At 43.0% G+C, this 22364-nt stretch overlaps 1 protein-coding gene across 3 annotated transcripts in view, besides 4 other annotated features; it reads left to right on the plus strand.

Annotated features, from left to right (window-relative positions):
- Nucleotides 1-22364, plus strand: part of PITPNC1 (phosphatidylinositol transfer protein cytoplasmic 1) — a 319976-nt gene that overhangs the window by 123434 nt on the left and 174178 nt on the right. The gene's annotated exons all lie outside the window — the stretch shown is intronic.
- Nucleotides 18464-18967: an enhancer, noted in NCBI's record as "OCT4-NANOG-H3K27ac hESC enhancer chr17:65515294-65515797 (GRCh37/hg19 assembly coordinates)". NCBI's record gives its function as "activates a minimal SCP1, AML or CMV promoter by ChIP-STARR-seq in naive H9 embryonic stem cells {active_cell/tissue: H9 hESC(naive)}" and the evidence as "EXISTENCE:reporter gene assay evidence [ECO:0000049][PMID:30033119]".
- Nucleotides 18968-19470: an enhancer, noted in NCBI's record as "OCT4-NANOG-H3K27ac hESC enhancer chr17:65515798-65516300 (GRCh37/hg19 assembly coordinates)". NCBI's record gives its function as "activates a minimal SCP1, AML or CMV promoter by ChIP-STARR-seq in naive and primed H9 embryonic stem cells {active_cell/tissue: H9 hESC(naive and primed)}" and the evidence as "EXISTENCE:reporter gene assay evidence [ECO:0000049][PMID:30033119]".
- Nucleotides 19471-19974: an enhancer, noted in NCBI's record as "OCT4-NANOG-H3K27ac hESC enhancer chr17:65516301-65516804 (GRCh37/hg19 assembly coordinates)". NCBI's record gives its function as "activates a minimal SCP1, AML or CMV promoter by ChIP-STARR-seq in naive and primed H9 embryonic stem cells {active_cell/tissue: H9 hESC(naive and primed)}" and the evidence as "EXISTENCE:reporter gene assay evidence [ECO:0000049][PMID:30033119]".
- Nucleotides 19975-20476: an enhancer, noted in NCBI's record as "H3K27ac hESC enhancer chr17:65516805-65517306 (GRCh37/hg19 assembly coordinates)". NCBI's record gives its function as "activates a minimal SCP1, AML or CMV promoter by ChIP-STARR-seq in primed H9 embryonic stem cells {active_cell/tissue: H9 hESC(primed)}" and the evidence as "EXISTENCE:reporter gene assay evidence [ECO:0000049][PMID:30033119]".

Below are 22364 nucleotides of genomic sequence, written 5' to 3' on the forward strand. Positions count from 1 at the left end.
TACAGTGGCACAATCACGGATCATGGCCCATGGCTCACGGCTCACTGAAGCCTCAAACTCCTGGGCTCAAGTGATCCTCCCACCTCAGCCTCCCGAGTAGCTGGGACCGCAGGCGCGCACACCACCACACTTGACAAAATTTTTTTTTTTTTTAAGTGGAGACAGGGGTCTCTCTATATTGCCCAGGCTGGTCTCAAACTCCTGGGCTCAAGCAGTCCTCCCATCTCTGCCTCCCAAAGTGCTGGAATTAAAGACGTGAGCCACTGCACCTGGCCAAAAGAAAGATTCTTAACTGTTACATTCCATTTATTCCATTTTCTAATCTTAATATCTTTAGCTTATTTCTGAATGTTGGACACCAGTAAACAACATTTATTGTCGCTGTGTAAACATTGCCCACTGCAGGTCTAGGTGCTAATGTCATATTATTACTTTCTCTATAGGACCAATGCCACAATCCACAGGCCACCTAGAGGATAGCATTTCATGCATCGCAGTTCGAGTGAATTCTCTTTTCTTATTTACCATCGACTATTCCTTTTGTGTTATCCTGGAATTCCTTCTTGCTTTCTTTTTCATATAGACCCCAAAAATACACTTTCATCACCTAGTGCTGTAGATGCACTCCGGGTTATATGACATCTCCTTACTTCTCAGCCATCGTCATCTGGCTCCAATCTACCAGCCTGTCCTGTCTCCTTCGCTGCCTTGTCTCAACATTTTATTAAATTTATTTCTTCCTCTTTTTTGTTCCATTCCCTTATTTTGCAACCTTTTGGATGTTACCCTTTGGAAGTTACCCTCTTGTAACTTCCACATTAAAAGTTTGGGGGCTGGCTGGGTGCGGTGGCTCACGCCTGTAATTCCAGCAATTTGAGAGGCCAAGGCGGGCAGATTGCCTGAGGTCAGGAGTTCAAGACCAGCCTGGCCAACATGGTGAAATCCTGTCTCTACTAAAAATACAAAAATGAGCCGGGATGTGGTGGTGGGAGCCTGTAATCCCAGCTACTTGGGAGGCTGAAGCAGGAGAATTGCTCGAACGTGGGAGGTGGAGGTTGCAGTGAGCCAAGACTGTGCCATTGCACTCCAGCCTGGGCAACAAGAGCAAAACTCTGTCTCAAAAAAAAAAAAAAGTTTGAGGGAAGTAAGCTTTCTAAATTCTAGCATGCCTGAAATTCTCGTCATTTTGGTCTTCTGCTTTGTCGGTGCCTCAGTTTCCTCATCTGTACAAGGGAGGTGATCATAATTACACTGACCTATTAGTGAGTATTAAATTAACGAGGATTAAATGAGCTATTGTGCAGAAAGTCTTAAGACAACTTTTGGTACATCATAAATTTGTTTGGGAGGCGTTAACCATTCACGTTGTAGTTGAAGCACATTAGATGTGTCTTCGTGTTCTGCACTCTGAAGACATCGTGTGGACTAACAGCAAAGTAATAAGATGAAAGTTTGTGTGGTGAAGTAAACGATCCTATTACCATAGTTGAACCATAGCTTATGAATTATTCCTTAGTGCTCTTCTCTGCTTTCATAAAATCATAATCCGTGTTTTAAGATTTACTTGTACTTTTTTTTTTTTTAGGCCACTAGGCTGTTCTCAGCTCTCTAGATACTCAGCAAAGCACAGTCATTTCCAGGAAATGGATTGAAATTGTAATGCAGATTTGGTTTAGATGTATGCAAGTGGCTTTGGAGAGTAACAATGCAATCTACTTAAGGAGATTGGAAAATTTAGGATATTGAAGATTTAAGGAACGGGTTGGCCCAAGTAACAAAACCATTGCCCTAGTCAATCTATAGTGGCCACTTGGAACACTGGATGGAAGAGGATTGGGGGCAGCATTGGGGCTGTTGTCAGTAAGTGACATCTGCCATGGGGTAGAAGGGTTTGTCATTCCTGGCCTTACCTTGATCCTTTCTCATGAAGGAAGTACAAGATATTATTGAGAGGATCTGACAGGGAGAATTGGTCTAGTTTTGGGTACTTGAGGAAGTTTGTGTGAAGTAAGATTATTGCATTGCATTGCATTGTATTGTATTGTATTGTATTGTATTGTATTGTATTGTATTGTATTGTATTGTATTGTATTTTAGAGATGGAGTCTTGCTCTGTCACCCAGGCTGGAGTATAGTGGCGCGATCTTGGCTCCTCTGCAACCTCCGCCTCCTGGGTTCAAGCGATTCTCCTGCCTCAGCCTCCCGAGTAGCTGGGATTACAGGTGCATGCCACCACTACGCCCAGCTAATTTTTGTATTTCAGTAGAGACGGGGTCTCACCATGTTGGCCAGGCTGGTCTCGAACTCATGACCTCAGGTGATCCACCCACCTTGGCCTCCCAAAGTGCTGGGATTACAGGGGTGAGCCACCTCGCCCAGGCTCTATTTCTTTTTAAAGGAAGTGGAGATGTCAAAGAAAACATATTTGTTGTGTAGAGTTTTAGAAAATAAAGTTACCAAAAACTCAAAATAAAAGAAGTAGATTTATTGAGAAGTAAGTCTACAGGTTGTACTGGGGGTTGGGGTGGGAGTGCTCCAAGGATTATGGCTCCTGAATTTCCCATTGTAGGACTGGGTAAAAGGTGGTAGGAACTAGAAAAAAAATGATATCACTTAATGACCACTTTGTCTCATAAATGAGATGACTAAAGCTTAAAAGGTAAGGTGACTCACTCTGGGTCACAGAGCTGGCAATAGAATCCAGTGGCCTGGTTCCATCTTGACGGGGAGGGAGGGGGCATTGTTTGTTGCCCAGGTACCATGTCACACTCTGAGTAACTTCTCTGCAGCCCTTGTATTTTCTCTGTAGGGGACAAGGGAAAACTTACCCTTTGTTTCTTGAAACAAAGGCAAATTAATAGGGGAAAAGCCATACAAATGATTAGCGTGCATGGGAGGAAAATCACAAAGCGATTACCCAGTATCCTAATGGGGTACAGATGTTTATATATCTTATTTTTTAGAGGAAAGGGAGAGGGGAAGTGTGGATGATTTTAGGGAGGTAGTAGATGATTTTTAGGGAATTTGATGGGCCTGAAGAACATACAATGGATTGGGACAAAGTCTGTTGGGCAGACAATGGTTTGTGACAAAATTCTGTCCAGGTGTGTTGACTGAATTCAGGCTTTCTTTACGCGATATGAGTTCAGTTAATGAAAACACAGGGGAGTGACCAGAAGTGATTGTTTCCTTCTTTGGCATTTCTGTCTTCCTCTTTTTTTGTTCTATTCCCTTATTTTGCAACCTTTTGGATGTTACCCTTTGGAAGTTACCCTCTTGTAACTTCCACATTAAAAGTTTGGGGGCTGGCAGATAGAAGGAACTCCAGAGAACAACTTGATTCTGTGCTTTGGGAGAGACAGAGAAATGAGGGGTGTGGAGGAAGGTCAGAGAGACCCTGAGGCTTCTGCCTCACTTCAGCATGTCAAAGCACCCTATTTTGGGGTATTGCTTTCTGAGCCCCAACATCTCCAGCCTTCCAGGAGTCTGTGGCATATCCTTCCCCAAAGGAGTAGGATCACTTGACCACTCTACTGAACCTAAGTTGTTTTTCATTTTCTTTTGCATCTGCCTTGAAGTCTAGAGCAAATGAAAATACAACAACACTGTGTAAACAAAACACACAAAAAAGCTGCTCTGATCTTTCTGTTTTCTCAGGTGCAAAACAGGTCTTATCTAAAGCAACTGAAAAGGCATGGAGGTAGCAATTGCTTTGCTATTCCAGGAACTAGTAGCCACCACATGTGTAAAACTATTGAAGAACAAGTTTTCAACCTTCTGCTGTGAAAAGGTACACAGGAATGGCTAAAGTCTCTCTAGAACCCGTACCTTCCTGGAGCAAAGGGAAGACCTGGGAAACGTTTTGACAAAGCAATGCTTACGATATTTTTCAATATCAGGGGAATTCAGTCAGTCTTCTTTCTTTTTTGTTTGGCCAGTTTAGCTAAAGTTTTGTCAATTTTGTTGATCCTTTCAAAGAGCCAACTTTTGGTTTTGTTCAGTTTCTCTGTTATTTTTCTATTCTCTAGTTCATTAGTTAATTAATTTAGGTTAATTAATTAATTTAGGTTTGACTTGCTTTTTTTGTTCCGCTGTCTTCAGGTGGAAGGTTAAGTTATTGATGCGAAATCTTTTTCTTTTTTAATATATGCATTTACAGCTATACACTTCTCTTTAGGTAGCACAGCCTTAGCTGTGTCACTTAAGTTTTGGTATGTTGTATCTTCATTTCTAATCATCTCAAATTATTTTCTACTCTCCCTTGTGATTTCCTCTTAAACCCATTGGTTATTTGTGTGTGTTGTTTAATTTCCACATATTTATAAATTGCCTGAATTTCTAATTCTATTCCATTGTTGTCGGAGAACTTGCCTTGTATGAGTTCAGTCCTTTTAAATTTACTGAAGTTTGTTTTATGGTCTAGTATACGGTCTATCCTGGAGACTTCCACATGCACTGAAAAGAGAGTGTATTCTGCTGTGTTGAGTGATGTGTTCTGTTGATTTTTTAGGTCTAATTGGCTTATAATGTTCAAGTCTTCTGTTTCCATGTTGATCTTCTGCCTAGTTGTTCTATCCATTATTCAAAGTGGGGCACTAAGGTCTCCAACTATAGTTGTGATAGTTTAGTTTAATTGTGCATTTCTCTTACCAATTCTGTCAATTTTTGCTTTATGTATTTCAGGGCTCTGTTAGGCACATACCTGTTTATCATTGTATCTTCCTAAGGAATTACCCTTTGATCATTATAAAATGTCCCACTTTATCTCTGGTACCATTTTTTGTTTTAAAGTCTACTTTGTCTGATATTAGTACAGCCACTCCAGCTTTCTTATGGTTTACTGTTTACATGACATATTTTTCCTGTCCTTTAATTCCAGTCTATTTGTAACTTTGGATCTAAACTATCTCCTATAGACAGCATATAGTTGGGTCTTTTTTTTAGTAGAGATGGGGTTTTACCGTGTTAGCCAGGCTGGTCTCGATCTCCTGACCTCATGATCCACCCACCTTGGCCTCCCAAAGTGTTGGGATTACAGACGTGAGCCACCGCGCCCAGCCCAAGTTGTTTTTGAGAACACCTGTAGGGAGTGTTTCCTAGCCTTTGCATGTGTTACGCTTGCACACAGATGACAGATTGGCCATATGTAAAATTTTGGAGTAACTCTCTTTTCCCTCGCAATTCTTTTGATGGTGTTTCTTCGTATTTTTGGCCTCCCCCTCTACCTGGATTGCACTGGAGCCTGCTATCAAGCCTTGTGAGACGTGCCTTTTGTCCAGTTGTTGATCCTCCATTGTTACTCCACCCTTTCCTGCCCTCCTGGGCACTGGGCAAGCCTTAGTCCCACTCAGTCCCTTTCCCTTTTCTCTCCCTCCTCCCTCAAATCATCATGCTTGGGCTGGCGAGATATTACCTAGGGCTACTGAAAAGTCACTTTACTATGGGCAAGCATATAAATCATATTTGTAACTGGCTTTTACCTACTGAAAAAATTTCAATATATTTTAATGTGAAGAGACACTGCTGAAGAAAAGGAAATGAAGAAAAGGTGAAGTAAGATTTTACACACATTTTCAGATTAGATGATACTAATGTTCCTGAATATACAATCTCCCTTTAGATTTAAGATATTGTTTTTAGTTTAGTTTAGTTTTGCTTTGTTTTTCAAATCACTGCCCTAATCATGAATTTCAGTCTTTGGGAGAAGGAATGGCCCTCATGGGGTGGGGAAAGCAGTAGTTTTTTCAGGTGTAACTGACTTTTAATTGACACAAATTTACAAATTTATATTACACAAGCTGAAAACAATTTTTTTCTGTTTAAATAATGTATTTGCTATCTGAATGATCATGTAAATTCAGGACAGGATTTGCCTATTTTTATTTTATTATACTAATAATAAAACCCCAATTCAAATGACTTTTCAGTACTTACTATACGCGATGTACTGCGGGTAAACAAGAAAATTTCTTAAATTCTCATTCAATAATTGGAAATCGATTAAATTACACCTATACTAGGAGAGATTTTATGCAACCATTGATAATTTTTGAAGAATATTTAAAGATATGGGAAATGCTGATAATATATTCAGTTAGAAAAAGCACATTTCAAAGTAATATATTCAGTATAATTTTCATCGTATCTAAAAAAAATTCAAAACCAGAATTCAAAACTAGGAAGAATATGTACCCAAATGTTAACATTGTCTATTTCTGGATTTGTTTTTTTAAAAAAGTTTCCTTATTCTAATTTTTCTAGAATGAAAACAAATCGATGCTATAATCAGTTGATAGTATGGTGGTGGTGGTGGTTTCTTGTAATGACATAGACCCACTCGTTAGGATTGCCAGGAATGGACACATTCATCCCACTTCAACGAGTCACTGTGACCTCTTAGAAAAGGTGGGATAGAGGCAGGGCCTTGATGGAAGAGTAAAATATTCATAGATGAATACATAGAAAGAATGACTGAGTCACTGAGCAGAGAAGCCACGCTGAGAATGTGTGCAGAACAGAGCAGGCAAGCAGTCAGTAACCGGGGTGGATGATGCTGAGACTAGGGTGGGTATGAGTCAAGGCCGAGTCCGAGAGCTGCAAAAACTTGGGAGAGGAGTTCAGATGTTGCTGTGTACGTTGGAGAAAATCATTAAAGGTTTCAGATTTGCAGTGAGATTTAGATCTGTCTGGGCACGCATGGTGGCTCACACCTGTAATCCTAGCACTTTGGGAGGTAGAGGTAGGCGGATCACTTTAGGTCACAAGTTCGAGACCAGCCTGGTCAACATGGTGAAACCCCATCTCCACTAAAAATACAAAAATTAGCCAGGCGTGGTGGCATGCATTTATAATCCCAGCTACTCGGGAGGCTGAGGCAGGGGAATCACCTGAACCAGGAGATGGAGGTTTCAGTGCGCTGGGATCGTACTGCTGCACTCCAGCCTGGGTGACAGGGCAAGACTTGGTCTCAAAAAAAAAAAAAAAAAAAAAAAAAGAGTAGAACTGTGTTATTGAAGGCTGGGAGACCAGGGGCAGGAGAGCATTTAGGAGGTGTGCTCCTGGTTTGTTCTTTCTCTTACTGGTCCTTCTCAGTGTCCTTCCTGGGTTTTTCTTCCTTCCCCTACCCCTTCACTGTTGTTGCTCCTGGGTACTGTTTAGTGCCCATCGCTCCATGGCTTCACTGACCATCTGAGTGCTGTGGTCTTCTGACCCTGAGCTGCAACCTGGATCGCTTTCCTGGGCTGCAAACCAGGATGTGTTTAAACATGTCCAGGCCACCTAGTTGTCCCCGGAATCCTTAACCTCACAGGAAGTTATTTTTTCCAAAGCCTGCTCCTCCTCCTTCTATATTTAATTCCCAAGAGTAATCTCCGTTCTCCCATCCTACCAGTTACGCAGCCAGAAAATTGAATGTCCTCATGAAATTTGCAAAGCTGTTACCAGAAAGGGGCCCTGATCCAGACCCCAAGAGAGGGTTCTTGGATCTCAAGGAAGAAAGAATTCAGGTCGAGTCTACAAAGTGAAAGCAAGTTTATTAAGAAAGTAGAGAATAAAAGAATGGCTACTCCATAAACAGAGCAGCCTGGAGGGCTGCTGGTTGCCCAGTTTTACGGTTATTTCTTAATGATGTGCTAAACAAGGGGTGGGTTATTCATGCCTACTCTTTTACACCATATAGGGTAACTTCCTGATGTTGCCATGGCATTTGTAAACTGTCGTGGCTCTGGTGGGAGTGTAGCAGTGAGGACGACCAGAGGTCACTCCTGTCGCCATCTTGGTTTTGGTGGGTTTTACCTGGGTTCTCTACTGCAAACCTGTTTTTTTATGACCTGTATCTCACGCCGACCTTCTGTCTCATCCTGTGACTTAGAATGCCTTAACTCTCTGGGAATGCAGCCCAGTAGATCTCAGCCTCATTTTACTCAGCCCCTATTCAAGATGGAGTTGCTCTGGTTCAAATGCCTCTGACAAAAAGACAAATACTTAGCTGAGGTACCTTCAAGAGGCAAATTCATAGAGTCAGAAGGTAGAATGGTGGTTGCCAGGGGCCAGAGGGGAGGGAAACGGGGAGCTGTTGTTTAAAGAGTGTAGAGTTTCAGTTTGTGGTGACGGAACGTTCTAGTGATGGCTGCACAACATTGTGGTTGTACTTAATGCACCAAACTGAATACTTAAAAATGGTTAAAATGGTAAATTTCATGTTATGTATGTTTTACCATAATTTAAAAATAAAAACAGGCCGGGCTTGGTGGCTCACGTCTGTAATCCCAGCACTTTGGGAGGCCAAGGCGGGTGGATCACATGAGGTCAGGAGTTCGAGACCAGCCTGACCAACATGGTGAAACTCCGTCTCTACTAAAAATACAAAAATTAACCGGGTGTGGTGGTGCACGCCTGTAATCCCAGCTACTCAGGAGCCTGAGGCAGGAGAATCACTTGAACTGGGGAGATGGAGGTTGCAGTGAGCCAAGATCACGCCACTGCACTCCAGCCTGGGAGACAGAGTGAGATTCCGTCTCAAAATAAATAAATAAATAAAATAGGCCGGGCGTGGTGGCTCATGCCTGTGAGTACTTTGGAAGGCCAAGGCGGGCGGATCACGAGGTCAGGAGTTCAAGACTAGCCTGGCCAATATGGTGAAACCCCATCTCTACTAAAAATAAAATAAAATAAATAGCTGGGTGTGGTGGTGCACGCCTGTAATCCCAGCCACTTGGGAGGCTGAGGCAGAAGAATCGCTTGAACCCAGGAGGTGGAGGTTGCAGTGAGCCGAGATTGCACCACCACACTCCAGCCTGGGCAACAGAGTGAGGCTCCATCTCTAAATTAAATTAAATTGAATTAAAAATAAATAAATAAATAAATAAATAAATAAATAAATAAATAAAACGTGTTCAACCGGGTTTGACTTAGTTTTTCCTCAGACTTATTTGACTGTGGTCCCCTCTGATCAGAAGAAAAAAATGCTTTAAAGTGTGACATATATCACATCCTTTCCATGTTAGAAAAACACACTTTGGGGAACATTCCCACATACTTGGGGGTGGGGAGGAAGAATCAACTTCCTGAGTGTATTAACTCAGAGAAATATTATTAGAAATGGTGGCTGAGTTTTTATTTGGGGGAATTTTGGGTCAATTCGTCTTCTCTGAGCAAGCCTAATGACGTCATTTCTATGAATGGATTTGGAGCTTTGAAACACTTTAGCCTGAAAAGAAACGTCTAGAACACAGCCGGCTCAAATCGGAGACCAATTGACTTCAATGAGTCTTAAGTACACAATCTGCTGCCTTTATGCAGAGGTTTGGGAATTATTTTGGAAAGATAGGAGGTTCCTCCTATTGGGAGGCTTCCAGTCAGTATCTTAGATCTCTAAGTGCTGAAACACTTGAAGCTGAGCACAGGGCATTGGGTGAGTAAAGGGAAAGTGAAATAGACAGCCTTGGGCAACACATTTGTCCTTCCTTCCTCTGCCCCAGGTCCTAGACTAATCTGGGTCTAAAGCAGGAGTTGCTTAAGAGACTCAGCCCACACAGTGGCTTCACTGTCTTTCACTCTGTCTGCAGATCTGGGAATCAGAGCCCCCTCTGGCTTCTTTGGCCACCATGTGGCCCACTTTCAGGACACCCCGAACCTGCCTTGTCACTAATCCCTGCGTCCAGAGCTGATGTGCGCACCCCTTTCCTTCTCTCCAAGACCCCCATTCCTAACAGCATTCCTGCCCCTCTTTAGACCCCTGGGCTGGCTTTTGCTTTGGTTGCCTTTCTCAGTTCCTTCTTCAGAAGCCTCTCTAATGCCTCAAGCCCTTCACTACTCAAGAGGGCGCCCTTGACCGCCTCGGCCTCCCAAAGTGCTGGGATTACAGGCGTGAGCCACCGCGCCTGGCCATTTTTTTTCTTTTTGAGACAGAGTCTTGCTCTATCACTCAGGCTGGAGTGCAGTGGTGCGATCTCAGCTCACTGCAATCTCTGCCTCCGGGGTTCAAGTGATTCTCCTGCCTCAGCCTCCCTAGTAGCTGGGATTACAGGCACTCACCACCATGCCCAGCTAATTTTTGTATTTTTAGTAGAGCAACCTCTGTTACCGCCCTTGTGGATAAAGACTCCCGGGTCCCATCCTCATTCTCTCTTCCCCACTACTCAGGGATTGGAATGCTGCCTTGAAATTTCAGCATTAGGCCCCCTTTTCCATGCCAGCGTATTGTTTCTTCTACTTGAAAAGTACATGTTCCTTATAAAAACTTCAAACCTCATAGAAGTATCTTTCCCACAATTATCTCTTAGGTAATTGCCATTAACAATGGACAATATATTTTTTTAGATTTTTCTTTTTCTATTCATATATGAGTACACGCGTTTGCATTTTAGCAAAACTCCTGCTATACCTACTGTTTTGCAGCTTACTTTCCTTCCCCCACATAATTATGCAACTGGGGCATCTTTCCATCTTGGCAAGGAGAGCTCTATTTCATGATTTAATAGCTGTATTGTATTTCATTGTTTGGATGTACCATGATTTATCTAACGGATCCCATTGATGGACAACTGGAGTTTTTCCAGCTTTGTTATTGCATATAATGTAGACATGAATAATCTTAAGCACATAAATCTTTGCACAATTGCAAAAGGGTTTCTCTAGGATAAATTCCTAGGTAGAGTAGCTAGGTAAAATGGTAAGAACATCTTTAATTTTAATAGACGTTGCCAAATCATCTTCCTAAAGGACTTAACCATTTTGTTCTTCCACCACATTGTGGACCGAGGTCGGTTCCCTTCACCTCGTCAATACTGGCTAGCTGTTCTTTTTCTTTTTGAGACAGAGTCTTACTCTGTCACTCAGGCTGGAGTGCAGTGGTGCGATCTCAGCTCACTGCAACCTCTGCCTCCTGAGTTCAAGTGATTCTCCTGCTTCAGCCTCCCGAGTAGCTGGGATTACAGGCACTCACCACCACGCCCAGCTAATTTTTGTATTTTTAGTAGAGATGAGGTTTCAGCATGTTGGCCAAGCTGGTCTCGAACTCCTGACCTCAGATGATCCACCCACCTCAGCCTCCCAAAGTGCTGGGATTACAGGCATGAGCCATTGCACCCAGCCTGGCTAGCTTTTTAAATTTTTAATACTTTGATAGATGGGAAATGTTTTAGTTTACATTTTAAACATTTGTTTTGCAGGTCTTCCCATTGCAAAACTCTAGGGTGATACTGATTACTTGAGGTTGAACATTTTCATATGTTAATTGGCCATTTGTATTTCTTCTCTAAATTTCTGCCTGGTCTCCTGCTGATGATGCACTTGAATTTCGCATTGCTGTTCTCTGCCTGCCAGGATGGAAAATCTATTCCTTCTCTTCAGACCTGCCCTTCCCTGCCCCAAGGCTAGAGAGTGATGTCCAGCTCAGAACTTGGGGTGAGAAAGATCCACGTTGACTCCCAACTACTCCACTAGTATGTGACCTTAGACCTCTCTAGGTCCCAGTTTCTTCAAATGAAAACCGGATTTGGGGGCCGGGTGCAGTGGCTCACGCCTGTAATCCCAGCACTTTGGGAGGCCCAGGCGGGCGGATCATTTGAGGTCAGGAGTTTGAGGCCAGCCTGATCAAACAGGGTGAAACCCCGTCTCTACTAAAATACAAAAAAATTAGTCAGGCGTGATGATGGGTGCCTGTAATCCCAGCTACTCGGGAGGCTGAGGCAGGAGAATCGCTTGAACCTGGGAGGCGGAGGTTGCAGTGAGCCGAGATCGTGCCACTGCACTCTAGCCTGGGCGACAGAGTGAGACTGTGTCTCAAAAAAAAAAAAAAAAAAAAAAACAGCTGGACTTGGAGCCGGAAGATCAGAACTGTTAGGCTCTATCCTGTGTTCTCAGGTACCCTGAACTTGCTTTTAGAGTATTTATATTTTATTATCATTTTTTGTTTATATATCGATTTCTCTTATTAGACTCTAAACTCCTTGATCACAAGGACCGTATTATCCATCCTCACATCTTTGGTGTCCAGGATATAATGGTGTTCACTCAATATTTTCCAATACATTTAATTTTTGAGAATTTTATTGACTTTTTTTTTTTACCATAAGAAAAGCTGCGTTCTAGGTGCCATGAGAATACAAAAAATATTTAAAATGTAGTTCATATCTTAGTTGGGGAGATAAGCTCGATCACTCATTCATTGAGTTATTCAATATATCCGGAGTTATCTAAGCTCCAGCCAGCTTGGCAGTATCTGAAAAGATAAAGTCAAGTTGTGTACCCCACACTTAAGTGGCTTCCAGTCTAGTAGGGGAGACAGATATAAAATAAACACAACATAATGGGATGCACACAATCATATAGAAATCATATAATAATTATTAAAAATATATAGTAAGGCTGGGCACAGTGGCTCACGCCTATAATCCCAGCACTTAGGGAGGCCGAGGCAGATGGATCATCTGAGGTCAGGAGTTGGAGACCAGCCTGGTCAACAAGGCGAAACCCCATCTCTACTAAAAATACAAAAATTAGCCAGGCATGGCGGCGGGCGACTGTAATCCCAGCTACTCGGGAGGCTAAGGCAAGAGAGTAGCTTGAACCCAGGAGGCAAAAGCGAGCTGAGATCCCACCACTGCACTCCAGCCTGGGTGACACAGGAAGAGTCTGTATCTATATCTATATCTATATCTATATCTATATCTATATCTATATCTATATCTACATCTACATATGTGTGTATATATATGTATATACATATATGTATATATACATATACTATATTTTTACTATATGTGTGTGTGTGTATATATATATATATATATATATAGTAAAAAATAAATAAGTAAAAACAGTCACAGAAGAATTATCACAAAGCAGTGCATGACTTGGTAGTTGCCAAGTGGGAGTAAAGCTCACTTTGCACTTAATGTGTTCTAGGAGTCACTAAGGGCATAGGAAGAAGAGACGGCTGGAAGGGGGCTTCCCAGTGCAATCAATGAGTGGTCACGTGTGTGTCAGTACAGCAAAGACCAAGAAGGCTTGCAGGAAAAACTTGTTGAATTCTCTTTGACCTAATGTCACCCACATTCATTTAACTGTGAAGCTCTTTTCCTCCCACTGCTTAGCATCCTATGGATCTATCATTCTTTAAAATCGTTATGGGAAATTCTGGTGTAGATACCATTTGTAATTAGATAGTGTCTCTTAACCTCTTTGGAACATAGGCCTTTTGAGAAATGGATGGTCGGAGGGGATTGTGCACAATTCTGTGCTCTTCGAAGCCCACCGAAGACCCGCCTCCATGATCAGGGAAAGCAAAGAAGGGAAAAAAAAAAATCCCAGGTAGTGGGAGTATCTGTGTAGGTCGAGATAGAAGAGGGTAGAAGATACGGAGCTTGTTCACTGCCGGGCAGTTGACTGTGAGGGAGAGACTGTGTGGGGAGGGGGACACCAACTGTGGAAGACCTCAAATACTTGGACTACTTGGTGTAGAATTCACGGGTTTTTTGTTTTTGTTTTTGTTTTTGTTTTGAGATGGAGTCTCGCTCTGTCTTCGAGGCTGGATTGCAGTGGTGTGATCTTGGTTCACTGCAAACTCTGCCTCCCGGGTTCAAGCAGTTCTTCCAGCCTCAACCTCCGAGTAGCTGAGATTACCGGCACCCACCAGCACGCCCAGCTAATTTTTGTATTTTTTAGTAGAGATGGGGTTTTACCATGTTGGCCAGGCTGGTCTTGAACCCCTGACCTCAGGTGATCCGCCTGCCTCGGCCTCCCAAAGTGCTGTTACAGGCGTGAGCCATCATGCCTGGCCAAATTCACGGTTCTTGATAACTGATCAACTGTGAAAGTCAAGGGAAGCCGGGTGCGGTGGCTTATGCCTGTAATCCCAGCACTTTGGGAGGCTGAGGCAGACAGATCACCCGAGGTCCGGAGTTCAAGACCAGCCTGGCCAACATGGTGAAACCCCATCTCTACTAAAAAATACAAAAAATAGCCCAGCATGGTGGCATGTGCCTGTAGTCCCAGCTACTCTGGTGGCTGAGGCACGAGAATCGCTTGAACCTGGGAAGTGGAGGTTGCAGTGAGTCGAGATTGTGCCACTGCACTCCAGCCTGGGTGACAGAGCAAGACTCAGCTCAATTAAAAAAGAAAAAAAGTCAAGGGAGATGCCCCAGTCAAAGATAACTCTGCCAACAGACACTGGAGTCATAGTTAGGATTATTTACAGAAAGAAAATCATGGAGCTAAAACTTCAACACTTCAAAACCTATGTTATGATCATGTTGAAATGCCCCACGTTGCCTTTATTAACTAGTGCTCAGTCTCCCAACTGAAAACTCATTGTAAGAATTGAATTTGCCATCTAACCGGGCATCCTACCTTGAATGGTTAAAAATCAGATTTGTCTGATTTCTAATTTTAGAAGGAACCAGGCTGACCTTCATTCCGCTGTTGCTAACTGGAGCCCTGTTACCTGGGTGACTAGATTTACAATATGTCAGTATGCAAATACCATCTGCCCAAGAGGAGAAAGGAAGCAAGGCCTTCTTCCTCTAGGGGTTGTCAGCAGTTCTGGAAACGTCTTCCTCTGGGAATGGGGAGGAAGGCATGCCCAATAGAAGGAGAACAGGGAAGAAGATGTGCTGATTCGTTTCTGGAGCCTCTCCCTTGTTCTCTTCCCACAGAGGAGTTTGTGGTCTGCCTTGTGGACAGTCCTGAATGTATATCATTAGGATATAGACAGGAACTTAGATTGTACATTTCTCCTGGTAGAGTGAGCAAAAGAAGTAGTATATATCACTTCAGTGGATCACAAAACACTTAGATTCAGATAACTGGAATGGCTTAATGAAGACTATGAATATGCGATTCCTGCCTCCCCAAATGCCATTAGGAATCTAATTTCCAACTGATAAGAGAGTGTGGGCTGGGCGTGGAGCCGGCTGCCTTTACTGGACGAACTCTGAAGGAGGATGAAGAGAAGTGGATATTCCGGCTCATTTTCCTACACTTGAGGTTGACTGGGCAAGCGGAAGGGATTTTTCTCCCACAGAATATCTATATTCAGCACTTGTCCTGAGTATTGTTTCAGGCGAGGGCTTGGAATCACATTTGGAAACATTCAAATCCAAAGGCAGGGACGTTCTGCTTTCCTTTTCATGAAATAACTGTCACATCAGCTGTCAGCTGCAGGAATCTCTCCCACCCACGCATTTTGTGAGTCCAAATTAGGTGGACTAATTAATTGTAATTTTTACTTTCAAGTCTCAAGGACTTTGATGGGCGGCTGTGCTTCCTTTCATGGTTGTGTGCAGGAATTTATGTAGGAGGAAGACCTTCTAGGAGCAGGATTGAGGATCTCAGGCTCTTGGCTTCTGATTTTGTACCCCTGGGTTACTTCCCCTGTGACCTCTCCTCTCTTTGCTCTCCTTGGCTCTGCTCTCTCATCTCTTTGGTAAAAAAGAACTCTTCTTACCATCAACCTGAAACTGTCAGCAACATGCAGGAGTGAGCAGTCACTAAACTTAACTGTGACATTTTCATCCACCTAGCCTTTTTATCTGCATGTCAAACAAGTGGCCAAGGAGATTAATGCCTGAGTGCATGCTGCAGCTAGACGGGCTGGGTTCAAGTCCCAGCTCTACTACTTACTACCTGGGTGACATTGGGCAAGTGACTTAACCTCTGTGTATCAGTTTCCTCATTTGTCAAATAGGGATTTAAAACGCTACCTTCCTCATTGTGTTGTTGTGAGGATTAAATAGTATAAATATTTTAGAACTGTGCTGAACCTATAGAAGCCAGGGCTCTGTATGGCAGCTTTTAAGATGACTCTGTCATGCATCTGCAGGGGTCCTAGTGAGGTAGTGAAGTTTTGCTGTGAGCAAGTAGATTTCCAGAGCTTGCTTGCAGGCAGTGACCTCCCCGTTCTTTCTTGCCATGCTAGTTTCTTTTTTGAGATGGAGTCTAGCTCAGTCGCCCAGGCTGGAGTGCAGTAGCGCCATCTTCACTGCAATCACCTCCCAGGTTCAAGCGATTCTCCCGCCTCAGCCTCCCAAGTAGCTGAGATTACAGGCGCCCGCCACCACGCCTGGTTAATTTTTGTATTTTTAGTAGAGATGGGGTTTTTGCCATGTTGGCCAGGCTGGTCTCAAACTCCTGACCTCAGGTGATCTGTCTGCCAAAGCGCTGAGATTACAGGCATAAGCCACCACGCCCAGCCATGCTAGTTTCTATTCATGCACAGATCAAGCCTAATTTTCCATGTGGCACCCCCCACCAACAACAGTACCCCATGCTGCTCTGTTCCTACCCCTTGCACCCTTTCTGTCAATGCTGTGTAATTAGCACATTTGGACACGATGTCTTAGCTTCTCACTCTGATTGTAATGTGAAGTTCAGCTCTTCATTGTCCTTGAGGCATAATGAAAAGATGCCATGTGGCTGGAGAGCTGCCTGCGATCGTTGTTCAATGGATGATGTGGCCAAGTACATAAAACAGTGACTTGGACAACCACACTTGTCCTTTAGCTTACTCTTGAAGTCACTTATTGCTTTCTTATTGCTTATGGCTTTCTTGTTGCTTTCTTATTGCTTATGGCTTTCTTGTTGCTGTACATAACTTAAAACTATCAAAAGAAAATATGAGATGTTGCAGCTGCTATGGAGGAAAGTCTGACAGTTCCTCAAATGGTCAAACATGTTGTTACCATGTGACCCAGTAATTCCATATCCAAGGGAAATGAAAACATACGTCCTCAAAAGACTCACCCACAAATACTCATAGCAGCATTATTCATAATAGCCACAAGGTGGAAACCACCCAAATGTCCATCAACTGATGAAGGGATAAACAAAATGTGGTATATCCATACAATGGAATATTATTCAGTAATAAAAAGGAAGTACTGATGCATGCTAAACATGAATGAATCTTAAAAACATGTTAAATGAAAGGAGTCAGTGACAAAAGGCCATGTATTGTATGATTCCATTGATATGAATGTTCAGAATGGCCACATCCATAGAAACAGAAGGTAACTTAGTGGTTGCTGGGACTGGGAGGAGAAGAGAATCAGGGATGACTATTAGTGGGTATGGAGTTTCTTTTGGAGATGATGAAAATGTGGAATTGGATAGCGGTGATGATTTCACAACCTTGCAAATATACTAAAAGCCACCGAATTGCATATTTTTTTTAAAAAAGTATGGGAAACATCTATATGCTCAACTACAGAGCTTAAAGTCATCTTTAAGATTACTTTTTCCAGCGTAGCTGTCACCTAAAATAGAATAAAAAGTGACTTGATCTGCAAGGAAAACATGAAAAATGCAAATGGTCAAGAATGGCTTTTTCACCCCAAATTGTTGAATATAAATTATATACATGCAATTCGTAAGTAAACGCTGTAGGACTCGGCTGCCTTCTATGTTGTGATTCTGTAATTTGCTACATTCCTGGATGGGCCATCAAAATAATACTGAAAACAGCTTCTATAACAAATAGAAGTGCTGTTTCAGGTCATGCCTACCACCACTCCTGGGTTCCCTAAGGTACTAATTCATAGCTACCTCTTTGTGGTGCCCTTACAAAGAGTGATTTAACTGTTTGTAAAGGTGTCTGGACCTTTTTGACATTAAAGAGATTTACTGAATTAAACTTATGTTTGCAAACAGAATATTTCCAGGGGATGCCTTCCAGCCCCCTAAGAATTAACCATCTTAGTTTATCAGTGTTTAATCAGGACCCTACTGATTGACTCTTCTGGTTTAAATAAATAATGGGGTTGAAATCTCTACCAGGGCTGTTTCAGTACTTATTTGGAAGAAGGATGTGAAATACCCAAGCTCCACCTAAAATAGGCTTTGCAAGAATAAGTGATCCAAGAGAGAACCTACAGTTGACTTTAAAACATCCTGTAATCATGTCACACCTGTTAGGATGGTGGTTATCAAAAAAACAAACAAACAAACAAAAAAAGGAAAATGATGGGCCAGCCATGGTGGCTCACACCTGTAATCCCAATACTTTGGGAGGCTGAGGCAGGAGGATCAGTTGAGACTAGCCTGGGCAACATTGCAAGACCCATCTCTACAATTTTTTAAATTACCCAGGCATAGTGCCGTGTGCCTGTAGTCCCGGCTACTCCAGATGCTGAAGTGGGAGGATCACTTGAGCCCAGGAGTTTGAGGCTGCAGTGAGCTATTTCACACCACTGCACTGTAGCCTGGGTGACAGAGCAAGACCCTTTCCCTAAAAGTATTTTTAAATGTAAAACAAGTGTTGGTGGAGATGTGGAGAAATCAGAGCCCTCCTGCATTGCTGGTAGGGATGTAAAACTGTGGAAAACAGTTTGGTGGTTACTCAAAAAGTTCAACATAGAATTACCAAATGATTGAGCAATTCCACTTCTAGGTCTGTACTCAAAGTAATTAAAAGCAGAGACTCAGATTCTTGTATACTCATGTTCACAGCAGCATTCTGTTTTTTTTTTTTTTTTTTTTTTTGAGATGATGTCTTGCTCTGTTTCCCAGGCTGGAGTGCAGTGGCACGATCTCAGCTCGCTGCAACTTCCGCCTCCTGGGTTCAAGCAATTCTCCTCCTTCAGCCTCCCAAGTAGCTGGGACTACAGGCGTGCACCACCACACCTGGCTAATTTTTGTATTTTTAGTAGAGATGGGGTTTCACCATGTTGGCCAGGCTGTTCTCGAACTCCTGACCTCAAGTAATCCTCTTGCCTTGGCCTCCCAAAGTGCTGGGATTACAGATGTGAGACACCATGCCCAGGCAGAAGATAGATTTTTTTTAAATGTAGCAATTTCTGGAAATATACCAAACTTACTGTTTTCCCTGTCTTCACTGACGACCTCAGGAGAGCAGGAGTTGACACCCATTTGCTTTCCTCAATCTGCTATCTGCTTCTTTTTACCAAGGAGGAAACACTCTTAGGCCAACTATGGCCTAAGAATGAATGGTGCCTCCCTGCAACCAGCCATACACCCTCTCTGGCTACAAGTGCCATCCATGCCTCTGGAACCTGGAGCTTCTCCTAAGTAGGGTGAGCAAAGATGCTGGAACTTTCCAAGTCTCAATCTACATATACAATCCACATATATAACCCTCTCCCAGCCTTGCTAGGTAGTTACCAGAACCCCAAAACCACTTGCCAAGCCAGTCAGCATTTAGGTAAGCAAAGGAGTCCAGTGACCCTCAAATATCACTGAGATCTTGTTTGTCTAGGCATGAAGTGCCTTGAATAACTCTTTCAAGACATTAAGAACTCCCGCTGTTCAATTGTACCTGAAGCAGCAAGTGCTTCTCTTTGCATTTCCTTTACCCTCTGTTCTCAGAAGGTCTCAAAGATGCTGAAACTAATTGCTGTCATTCCTGAAAGATTTCTGCTTTTAAGTGGTACTGCGGCTTCCCTTGATGCTACCAGCCGTTTTCATTAAGGATTTCATGAAGGGTTGATGGGTGCATTAGGCTTCACAAACAACGGTTCTTTTCATCCTGGAAAGGCCTTGCTACCTTGGTAGTGGATGGACCTCTCTGCTGCGAACATCTCTGTTTATGGGGCTAAGGTTACAGAGATGACAAAGAGGTCACAAGCGGATGGCGCAGGATATGTGTCCTGGGAAAGCTCTATCTTGATTTTCCCTCTTTTTGGTCTTGTGATTGACTGTGGGTTTATGTTCTGTAGTAAACACAAGAGCCTTGATTGCTTACTAAAGGTCAGACTTGTCAGCAAACCTCTCCATTAACTTGAGTTGCGATCGGTTTCACATTTCCTGGCAAATCGTTTGAGAGCTCTGATGAATGCATCAGTTTCCTTCAGTCTTCTGTCTTCAAGGCAGAAACGCTCAAGAAATCCCCCTCTTTGCCAGACACCAAGTGTATCTTGTTTGCAGCTCTGCCTCTAGCATCTACAGGGCTTGGCATACACGTGAAATGCATGTTGAGTGATGAACGGGAGCGCACAGGACTCTTAAGAACCGAGACCGTCCCCACAGCCAACGTATGAAGAAATCCCATGTTCTGCTTCTAGAGCCAACTGCCCTTGTGGTTTCGAGTTGAGTTCTGGCAGTTCCTGTCTTTGCTCTCTTAATCATTCTTCATGGGCTCCCACTAATGGCTAATTTGCTCAGCTTGTCATTTATAAATACAAGGACATGACACCCACTGCCTTAGCCAGTGCTTATAAAGTAACCTGTAAGTGCTGCATGTTATCATCTCGGCTTTTCAATTTATGAGTCAAGTGAATTCTCGGGGCTAGAACATCACCCCTAAAAGCGAGTCAGTGTTGGAAGAAGCAGCAAAAATATACATGCACTCTTACTTGCATAGACTATGAAGACTATTGTTACTCTCCTGTACTCAGTCAAGTAGATTATGCTCCTCCATGGTCAAGTACCCTTGAGGCGATTTGCACAGTTTTGCAGCAACAGCAGGATAGAGGTTGTGCTGGTACCAGCAGGAAGCATAGCCTGAGCCCTTCCCTTGGATTTCAGTTGCTCTATTTCTATTCAGTTCAGTCCAGAACTTAGGACAGGTTAAGCATCAGCGTCCAATACAGTTTATATTAGTTTGTCACAAAAGGGGGATTTTTTGAATTAAATGTTGATAACCCAGCTTCTTAAATCTTTTTATCAGTTTTTTCATTCCCATACCCTGGCATAATGACACAGGTATTACGTAAACAAGACACCTCCGAGGGCTGCTTATAAAAACTCAAGAGAAAAGATAAATATGTGATGATGCACTGATATCCTGAAATATGAGCTGCAGGTTTGTATTTTCTTTGTGGGATCGGATATTGGTTTTCATGGTTTATTGACCAGGCTGAGAGACATCTGACAAAACACCCAAGAACTTTACACCTTTTTTTTTTGTTATTATTTTTTAACCTTCCTGTCTACATGGAGAAATCTACACATTGAATCACAGGGCCTGGAAGACTGGGGCTTAGCCAGTCATGTTCTTAGCTTGGGCAGAACCCAAATCAGATCCAGCTGTTGGAGGTAAAAATACACGCTGCTTTCCCAAGGAAAAAGCAATTGGAATTGGTCTCACTGTAGAGTTACTCTCGGGCAGAACTTCGGGATAAGGAGCAACTGGAGACGGTCGACTGTGAATGTGATGTTCATGTGACATTCATGTTCATTGAGGAATGTGTTCTCATTGAGACCGGATCAGAACTCATTTGGGTTCAGTTAATGACTCTTTCCTTTCTGCCGGGTCTTTGTCTGCAACATTGGGCACGCAGTCAGTACCTCGTTGTGTGGGAGCATCACCGACAGGAATCCTCCAGAATGGTCATATATTAAAGACCTCTCGGGCTGGGCATGGTGATTCATGCCTGTAATCCCAGTACTTTGGAAGGCCGAGGCAGGTGCATCACCTGAGGTCAGGAGTTCAAGACCAGCCTGGCCAACATGGTGAAACCCTGTCTCTACTAAAAATACAAAAATTAGCCGGGCGTGGTGGCACACGCTTGTAATTCCAGCTACTCAGGAGGTTGAAGCAGAGGAATTGCTTGAACCCAGGAGGTGGAGATTGCAGTGCGCCGAGATCACACCACTGCATTCCAGCCTGGGAGAGAGAGTGAAACTCCATCCCCCACCACCAAAAAAAAAAGACATCTAGGCTTAGGGCACGGCAAACAAAGAACTCCCCTGGCATGGCAGGAATCAGGGAATCTCATGTAACATTCATTGTTTCTCCGGGGAGTCTTTTCATATTTCTCCCGTCTTCTAGGCTCAATACCTTTCAGGAAGCTTCTAAACCAAAGGTTCATCAAATAGAAATAATTTTAAAAATTATTTCATAATAAACTTTAATAATTTTTTCATAATCATAAAGTAATTGTTAGATGGTTTCCTTGAGGCATGAGCCATACTCACTGAAAAATGACAAGTTCTGAGCCTTTTTAATTGTGATCAAATATACATATCATAAAATTTACCATTTTAATCTTTTTTTTTTTTTTGGAAAATGAGGTCTCACTTGCTTGCCCAGGCTGGAGCACAGTGGTATGATCATAGCTCACTGCATTGCACCCTGGACCTCCTGGGCTCAAGCGATCATCCCGCCTCAGCCTCCCGAGTAGCTGGGACTACAGGCGTGTGCCACCATGCCCAGCTGAGTTTTTATTTTTTTGTTTTTTGTAGAGACACCATCTCCCTATGTTGTCCAGGGTGGTCACCAACTCTTGGGCTCAAGCTGTCCTCCCACCTCAGCCTCCCAAAGCACTGGGATTACAGGCATAGACTACCATGCCTGGCCCACTGTAACCAATTTTAAGTGTATATTTCAGTGACATTCAGTACATTCACATTGTTGCAAAACCATCATCACCATCTACCTCCAGAAGCTTTTTTACCATCCTAAACTG

The sequence above is a fragment of the Homo sapiens genome, chromosome 17, assembly GCF_000001405.40.
Source record: "Homo sapiens chromosome 17, GRCh38.p14 Primary Assembly".
Lineage (NCBI taxonomy): Eukaryota > Metazoa > Chordata > Mammalia > Primates > Hominidae > Homo > Homo sapiens.